Here is an 8,226-nt window from a genome sequence, read left to right as displayed (position 1 = left end):
CCTCCGCCTCCAAAAGTGCTGGGATTACAGGCATGAGCCACCGCGCCCAGCCCCATTTCTTTATCGCTTTACCTGCCTATGGGCAGGTGGGTGGTTTCCAGTTGGTGGTGATTATGATAAAGGTGCTAATAACATTTTTGTATAACTTTTTGTAGACGGGTATTTCCATTTCTGTTGGGTAAATACTTACACGATGGCCACAGAAGCACACCAGTCATATCTCCCTCAAGAGAACCTGCCACTGGGGGCCCAGGTGGCCAACAGCCAGCACTGCCCCTTGGGATGCACTTCTCTTAGCTCCTCCCCGCCCATGACTGGGGAGGGTGGGAGCTAGCTCTGGCCCATTCCAGTAGGACTCCCTACTGGGCTGTGGGCTCAGGGCCTCCCCATCAGCCTAGCTGAGACTTTCTCAGAGCTGCACTGAGACCTGAGGCTCGCTCTTTTCTCTTTCTTTCCTTTTTTCTTTTCTCTTTTCTTTTTCTTTCTCCTTTTTCTTTCCTTCCTTTCTTTATCCCCTCCTTCCTTCCTTCCTTTCTTTTTCTTTCTTTCTCTTTCTTTTCTTTCTTTCCTGCCCGCCCTCCTTCTCTTTCTTTCTCTCTCTCTCTCTCTCTCTTTCTTTTTTTGAGACACAGTCTTCTCTGTCACCCAGGCTGAAGTGCAGTGGCACGATCTCGGCTCACTGCAACCTCCGCCTCCCAGGTTCAAGAGATTCTCCTGTCTCAACCTCCCAAGTAGCTGGGACTGCAGGCGTCCCCCACCATACTTAGCTAATTTTTTGTATTTTTCGTAGAGATGGGGTTTCACCATCTTGGTCAGGCTGGTCTCAAACTCCTGACGTCAAGTGATCTGCCTGCCTTGGCCTCCCAAAGTGCTGGGATTACAGCCATGAGCCACCATGCCCAGTCTCTTTCTTTTTGTTAAAAACAGAGTCTCCCTCTGTTGTCCAGGTTGGAGTGCGGTGGCATGATCTTGACTCACTGCAACCTCTGCCCCCCAGGTTCAAGTGATCCTCGTGCCTCAGCCACCCAAGAGTAGCTGCGATTACAGGTGTCCACAACCACGCCCAGCTCATTTGTGTATTTCTAGTAAAGAAGGGGTTTCACTATGTTGGCCAGGCTGGTCTGCAACTCCTGGGACCTGAGGCTTTTTCTATCCAAACCTCCTTCCTTCCCCGCTCCTTGCACAGAGGTGAGACCTGTATTGACACCCGAGGGACCTCCCTGCTCCTCCCGCTTCCTCTCCTTATCCTTCACAGGCATTTCCTCCATAGCTCTCTTGCGTGTCTAATCCTGTCCTGGTGTCTTCTTGGAAGACTCACACTGACACCACCCAGGGGTGCAATGGTGGGCTCATGCATGGGCCACGTTTTGGGGAGGACAAGCCAGTGAGGCGGTGAGCGGGAAGCACCCTGCATGGGGCCAGCCCCCCACATGGCGCGGTCAGCTGGGAGTCTTGTCAGACAACGGAGGAGGTGGGTCTGCAATGCTACTTTGCAGGCTGGAGCTGGGGAGATCTTCTCTTGCCCACCCCAATGCTTCAGGCAGGAAGGTACAGGAAATCCCTGACACATGGCAGCCCTCAGGTTCTCCTGGCCCCAGAGCAGCAGTTTCAGAGCAGGAAAGGGCCTCAGAGGAGTCTTTGGAACATGGGGAAACTGAGCCCAGAGTGATGGTGCTGCGCTTGAGGTCGGCAGGCACTTGAGCCCATGGGTGCCTCAATGGCTTTGACTGATATAGGGACAGAAATAACACCTCAATGGCATTGCCTGCCTGAGTTTAAGGAGGCCCTGCAGGTGTGTGCACTCTGCTAGCTGCATTCAGCTCCATGCCACACCCAACCTGCCTACCCAATGCACCACCCACATTCACCAGTCTGTGGCTTTAAAGACTCAGGTGAGGCCTGGCATGGTGGCTCATGCCTGTAATCCCAGCACTTTGGGAGGCCAAGGTGGGTGAATCACCTGAGGTTAGAAGTTGGAGACCAGCCTGGCCAACATGGTGAAACCCCACCTCTACTAAAAATACAAAAACTAACCAGGCGTGGTGGTAGACTCCTGTAATTCCAGCTACCTGGGAGGCTGAGGCAGAAGAATCACTTGAACCTGGGAGGCAGAGGTCACAGTGAGCCAAGATCATGCCACTGCACTCCAGTCTGGGCAACAGAGTGAGACTCTGTCTCAAGAAAGGAAAGAAAGAATGAAAGAAAGAAATATATAGAGAGAAAAGACTCAGGTGAGCCGTTCCCTAACAGGCAGGTGATGGCGCAGGCCATCATGTGCTGTCTGCAAGGCTCTGAGATTCTCTGAGCTGCCGCGGGGGAAGAAAGGGAAAGTTGAAGGGGCTTCCGGAGGAAAGTTAGGGTCAGAGGCATTTGCTTTCAAGACTGAAGCAATTGCAAGAGTGTGGCAGGCAAAGGGGCAGAGTCTGAGGGGATTCAGTGGGAGAAAGTCCGAGAATCAAAAAAAAAAAACAGACGGAGGAAAAGAAGGAAGGGAAGAAGAAAGGAAGGAAGGAAAAGGGTGGAAGGAAGTTAAAAATAGACAAATCTCCTTGCTCTTTACAGGTCATAAACACTTTCCCACACACTAGCTTTTTCTTTTTTTTTTAGACAGAGTCTCGCTCTGTCGCCCAGGCTGGAGTGGGTGGCGCCATCTTGGCTCACTGCAACCTCTGCCTCCCAGGTTCAAGCAATTCTCCTGCCTCAGCCTCCCGTGTAGCTGGGACTACAGGTGCCTGCCACCACGCACGGCTAATTTTTGTATTTTTAGTAGAGACAGGGTTTCACCATGTTGGTCAGGCTGGTCTCCAACTCCTGACCTCAGGTGATCTGCCCACCTCAGCCTCCCAAAGTGCTAGTATTACAGGTGTGAGCCACCTCGCCTAGCTTCTTTTTTTTATTATTCAAATATTTATCGAGCAGCTAAGGAGATACAAAGGTGATTTAAAACATGGTCAGAGGTGAGGCAAATGCACAAGTAATAGAAAGCAAAGGGCAAGATTCACTGAATCACAGCAGTCAGAGAAAGTGCATTAGGGAACCAAGAGTGAGATTATTTCCAGCCTGAAGAGGCCTGGGTGGCAAATCAGAAAAGGGGATTGAGATGAAAATAGAAGACTATGGTCTGGATTGTTGATGACATTCAGTATGGGCTATATTTGTCTCTCCTTTTCCTTTCTCCCTATCTTTGGGCTTAATTTATCAGTAGTGCCCAGGACTGTTCAGTGCTTTTTCTATATTTGCTTGCTTTTTGCTTTGATATCTTCTACAGAACTAGGTCTTTGGTATTTTAGGAGTTTTTTCCTGTTTTTTTGAAGGATTCTTGTCTTTTTGATCTTGGTGTTGACGGTTTTGAGTCTTTTCCATTCTGATTTGACTTTTGTGCATTTTTGGCTGAAGTATCTCGTATAGATTTCTTCACTGGCACTTTTTCTTCAGTTTCCTCGTCATCTTCATCATCATCTTCTTCATCATCACCACCATCTTCATCTTCATCATCATCTTCTTCATCATCTTCATCTTCATCATCACCATCATCTTCATCATGATCATCATCATCTTCATCAGCAGCAAGTTTTACTTGTTTCTGTGGAACCTTGCTACCACCTCCAGGGACAGATTGCTTTCCAGATATACTTAAGAGTTTCGCACTCTCCTCCTCTTCATCTTCTGACTCTGCATCTTCCTCCACAGCTACTAAGTGCTGTCCACTAATATGCACTGGCCCTGAGCCACACTACAACTGTAAGACCACTGGTGGTGTGATTTCAAAGCCCCCAAGGGAAACCGTTGACTAAACAGACATTTTCAAAGTTGCCAGTGTTACTTCAATTGGACCGCCTTCTAATTCACTGCCTCTGCTTCAACAATGTGCAATCATCCTCTGCACCAGCCCATGAACTGACTGTTCTTAAAGATAACTGGTGCTCATTTTCATCATTATCCACCTTAAAGTGATCATCTTTGTTGGCCTTAAGTTCACAACTGAAAAGATAGTTCTGGGGCCTCAGAGGACTCATGTGCATGTCCATCGAATCTTCCATCGGGTGGCGGCATACACTTAGGTGGTAGAGAAGGCGGACGGAGATAAACGACCACTGCTCAAGAGAACAGCCCCGCAGGATGGAATCACACCAGCTTTCTTTTTCTTTTTTTTTTTTTTTTGAGACAGGGTCTGGTTCTGTCACCCATGCTGGAGTGCAGTGACATGATCTTGGCTTAATGCAAACTCTGCCTCCCAGGTTCAAGCAATTCTCATGCCTCAGCCTCCCAAATAACTGGAATTATAGGCGTGCACCACCACATCTGGCTAATTTTTGTATTTTTAGTAGAGACAGCATTTTACCAAGTTGGTCAGGCTGGTCTCAAACTCCTAGCCTAAAGTGATCCACCCACCTCATTAGGCAGGCAGATCAGGTCCTGCTGGCTGGCCTTTGAAGTCCTGCTTTTAACTTAGCCCCATGTCTGGGATGGGGCCAATTGAGGAGACCTCATGAGGCTAAACTAATCAATGCCCTGAAATGACATTTCTCTTATCAGTGGATCTTCCCCCTGGCTGCACTTCAGAATCCCTGGGGAGCTTTAGCAAATACCATGGCCAGGGCCCATCCCTAGGGCTTCTGGAGCAGGGCCGGGGCCAGTGGTAGGGTTCAAGAGCTCTGCAGGTGATTTTAATGAGCAGCCAGGGTTGAGACAGCCTCTGTGTGGCTGGCACATGGGAGGAGGTTGGCCAAGCCCACCGGAAGGATTCAGAGCAAGGAGGTAGCTGAGTGACAACTACCTGACCAAGAGGCAGAAGATGGCAGCCACATGTCCACGTCCACAGACACGCTGATGTGCCTGGAGTCTTGCCTCTGATGCTTCCCATCCACATAGTGGGCACCTTCCGGAGCAATCTTTTCCAGGGTCATAGGAAGAAGGAAGGCACGCAGGCGACAACCCCATTTTGGAAGGAATGAGATGTTCGGGGTACTTGTGACTGTTGGCCACGATGTCAAAGACTGAACCAGGTCCCTGCACACCTTTCAGAACGCAGTAAAACGTCCCTATCGGGGGGTACCTGGGCACGAGGACGGGAGAGTGTGCTGCTCCGGGGAAGCAGCTATTTTCCTGCTGGGTTCACCTTGCACCCCTAAGGGTGGCCCCATTACTTTGACTGAGTGATGGAGTGACTATGGCCACAGGCTTCTGGGCCAGGCCCTCCAAGTTCCAGTCCTGGCTCCATGCTTCAAGTCCCAACCTAAATGCATGCTAGATACTTTGACCCTCAGTTTCTTTAGCCATAAACAAAATCTAATAACAGTAGTTTTAGATTTAGATTTAGATTAACAGTAGGCTGTTCTGGGGAATAAACAAGATACCGGTGTGAGGAAGCCTGACCCTTCCTAAGGCTTGACAAACGTTAGCTATGGTTCTAAGCCTGAACGGACCATCCCAGGATAACCAGATCTCTCATCATTACAACATGCCAGGAATTGAAGTGGGCAAAAAACATCAGGTCAGACATGCTGGCGGGCCAAGGGCTTTGCAGCTTTCCACCAGACACTCAGACCGTCAGAGCTGGGGGCTTGGCAGCCTGCTGGCCAGGAGTTCCCGAACCTGGCTGTGCTTAAAAGAGAGACGAGGAGCTTAAAAGGCAGCAGACCAAAAAGCTCTCCGGGTCATCCTGATGGGTGGCCAGGTTTGTGGACAGCTGAGCTGCTCCAGCTCCCTTACCAAACGGCGGTGGTGGGGAGGTGGAGGCGCAGGGAGAAGTGATCTGTCCGAGTTCCTGAAGTCAGTCCGTGGCCATGCTGGGCCCAGCACTTGCCCTGTGACCCTCAAAGCCCCACCGTCTACCCTTCACTCAAGGGCTTCCTACAGCCGTGAGGATACAAGAGAACGCCTTGTGTCCTTGGAAGCATTTTTGTAATCTAAAATGTAGAAGAGTGCATTTCCTGCCTACATAGTTAAACACTTTCCTTTAGAAGAAAGGCTGGGGCCGGGCACAATGGCTGGCTGGGTGCAGTGGCTCATGCCTGTAATTCCAACATTTTAGGAGGCTGAGGCCGGCAGACTACTTGAGGTCAGGAGTTCGAGGCCAGCCTGGCTGACATGGGGAAACCCCATCTCTACTAAAAATGCAAAAATTAGCCAGGCATGGTGGTATGTGCCTGCAATCCCAGCTACTTGGGAGGCTGAGGCAGGAGAATCACTTGAACCCGGGAGGCAGAGGTTGCAGTGAGCCGAGATAGGGCCACTGCACTTCTGGATGACGGAGCAAGATTCTGTCTCAAAAATTAAATAAATAAAAGAAAAGAAAGTCAACTTCATGAAGTGCTATTTTAGCTGAATCTGAATAGAAGCCTTAACCTTATGGACAGAGAACTCCCTGGCTGGGAGGCTGGGTTGAGACCTTTACATTTGGAGGATTGTTTCCTGCAAATCAGGAAGAGGTGAGCTCAGCCGTCTGTTTTAGAATCCACTCTTTTCAGGAGGAGGGTAAATACCAGTCTGCTGTTTGGAAATGGAGCTTGGGTGTCAAATGACAGTCATTTCTCTTTAATGGCAGACATTTGTTAATGATTATATAAGTGTCCAGAGGTGAGGCTGCGACAGCCCGGACATCATTGATTTCCTAGAAATATATTTGTACTGAGGACCAGATGGCATTTGGACTGCAAGAGACACCGAGGCTCAGACAAGCAGGTCTTTGCTCCTGCCTCTCTCTCCTCCTGTTGGCCCAGCTGGCAGTGCCAGGAAGGGGCCCCTGTCCGCTGACTCCTGCACTGGTGGTCTCCTCCCCTGGGAGGGAGGGGTAGAGGAAGGGTTCATGGGACACACACAGGCCTCAGGGTCAGTCAGCTTCGGGATGATTCCTGGCTGGGTCACTTCCTCCCAAGTGGCTTTTGGCCAAGTGGGCCTCACTGTCATCACCAGAAAGCGTGGATAATGCCACCTATGTGGTGGAAGGAAGGTGTCCGCCCAGAGCCTGGCAGGCAGTGGGTGTGCCCTGAGTGACAGCAGCTATGGTCACCAGGCCTGGACTCCTCCCTGGCCTGACCTGTTTTGGGGCTGAGATGCTGGCTCACTGCCACGCTGTGCTCTAAAAAAGGAATGTGGTCTCAGGTCCTAGGCGGGGCAGGAAACAGAGACTGTCATTCCCAGCCCACGGGCTCCTCGCAGACCTCAGTCTCCCCGTGTAAGATGAGGGCCAGACGGAGGGTCTCTGGAGCTCTTCCAGCCTCAACAGGCTAAACATTTGAATGACTAGAGGCTTAGACTAGCCATCTCAACTCTGGCTGCTCGTTAAAATCACCTGCTGAGGCCGGGAGCAGTGGCTCACGCCTGTAATCCCAGCACTTTGGGAGGCCGAGGAGGGCGGATCACCTGAGGTCAGGAGTTTGAGACCAGCCTGGTCAAAATGGCGAAATCCCGTCTCTACTAATAATACAAAAATTATTCAGGCGTGGTGGTGGGCGCTGGTAATCCCAGGCACTTGGGAGGCTAAGGCAGGAGAATCGCCTGAACCCAGGAGGTGGAGGCTGTAGTGAGCTGAGATCGTGCCACTGTACTCCAGCCTGGGTGACAGTGAGACTTCGTCTCAAAAAATAAATAAAATTACCTGCTGAGCTCTTGAACCCTACCAGTGGCCCCAGGCCTGCTCCAGAAGCCCCGGGGATGGGCCCCAGCCCTACTCCAGAAGCCCTAGGGCTGGGCCCCGGCCGTGGTATTTGCTGAAGCTCCCCCGGGATTCTGAAGTGCAGCCAGGGGGAAGATCCACTGATAAGAGAAATATCATTTCAGGGCATTGATTAGTTTAGCCTCACGAGGTCTCCTCACTTGACCCTATCCCAGCTATGGGGCTAAGTTAAAAGCAAGACTTTAAAGGCCAGCCAGCAGGACCTGCTCTGCTGCCCTGGTTGGGAAGAAAACAGGTTGGAGGAGGCAGGAGACTTGCCTGGAGTCTGTTAGGGGAAGAGGTCAAGCATAACCTGGGCTGTGGGCCTGGTAGGGCTTCCTTGCACGTGGCCAGAGGGTCCTACTCCCAAGCATACCCACCCTGGGCTGGGAAGGGCAGCTCGCTCCAGGAGGGAATCCACAGTTCTTCCTACCTTTCCCCAGGCTTCTTTCCAACAGCAGGGCCAGCCAGGCGGCAGCCTCTGACCCCTTCCAGGTCTTTGGTGGTCTGCAAAATGCTAAGGATTGAGACCCCAGTGGTCTTTCCTTCTTTTTTTGGAGATGAAGTCT

At 51.0% G+C, this 8,226-nt stretch overlaps 1 pseudogene, besides 1 other annotated feature; it reads right to left on the bottom strand.

Moving 5' to 3' along the window:
* Window positions 1–3,019: 3,019 nt before the first annotated feature.
* NPM1P31 (nucleophosmin 1 pseudogene 31) lies at window positions 3,020–4,134 on the bottom strand (annotated as a pseudogene).
* Window positions 6,594–7,093: an enhancer, noted in NCBI's record as "H3K4me1 hESC enhancer chr10:126553027-126553526 (GRCh37/hg19 assembly coordinates)". NCBI's record gives its function as "activates a minimal SCP1, AML or CMV promoter by ChIP-STARR-seq in naive H9 embryonic stem cells {active_cell/tissue: H9 hESC(naive)}" and the evidence as "EXISTENCE:reporter gene assay evidence [ECO:0000049][PMID:30033119]".

The sequence above is a fragment of the Homo sapiens genome, chromosome 10 (assembly GCF_000001405.40).
Source record: "Homo sapiens chromosome 10, GRCh38.p14 Primary Assembly".
Classification (NCBI taxonomy): Eukaryota; Metazoa; Chordata; class Mammalia; order Primates; family Hominidae; genus Homo; species Homo sapiens.
Note: the sequence above shows the minus strand (reverse complement) of the source record. Positions and strands in the feature narration are given on the sequence as shown.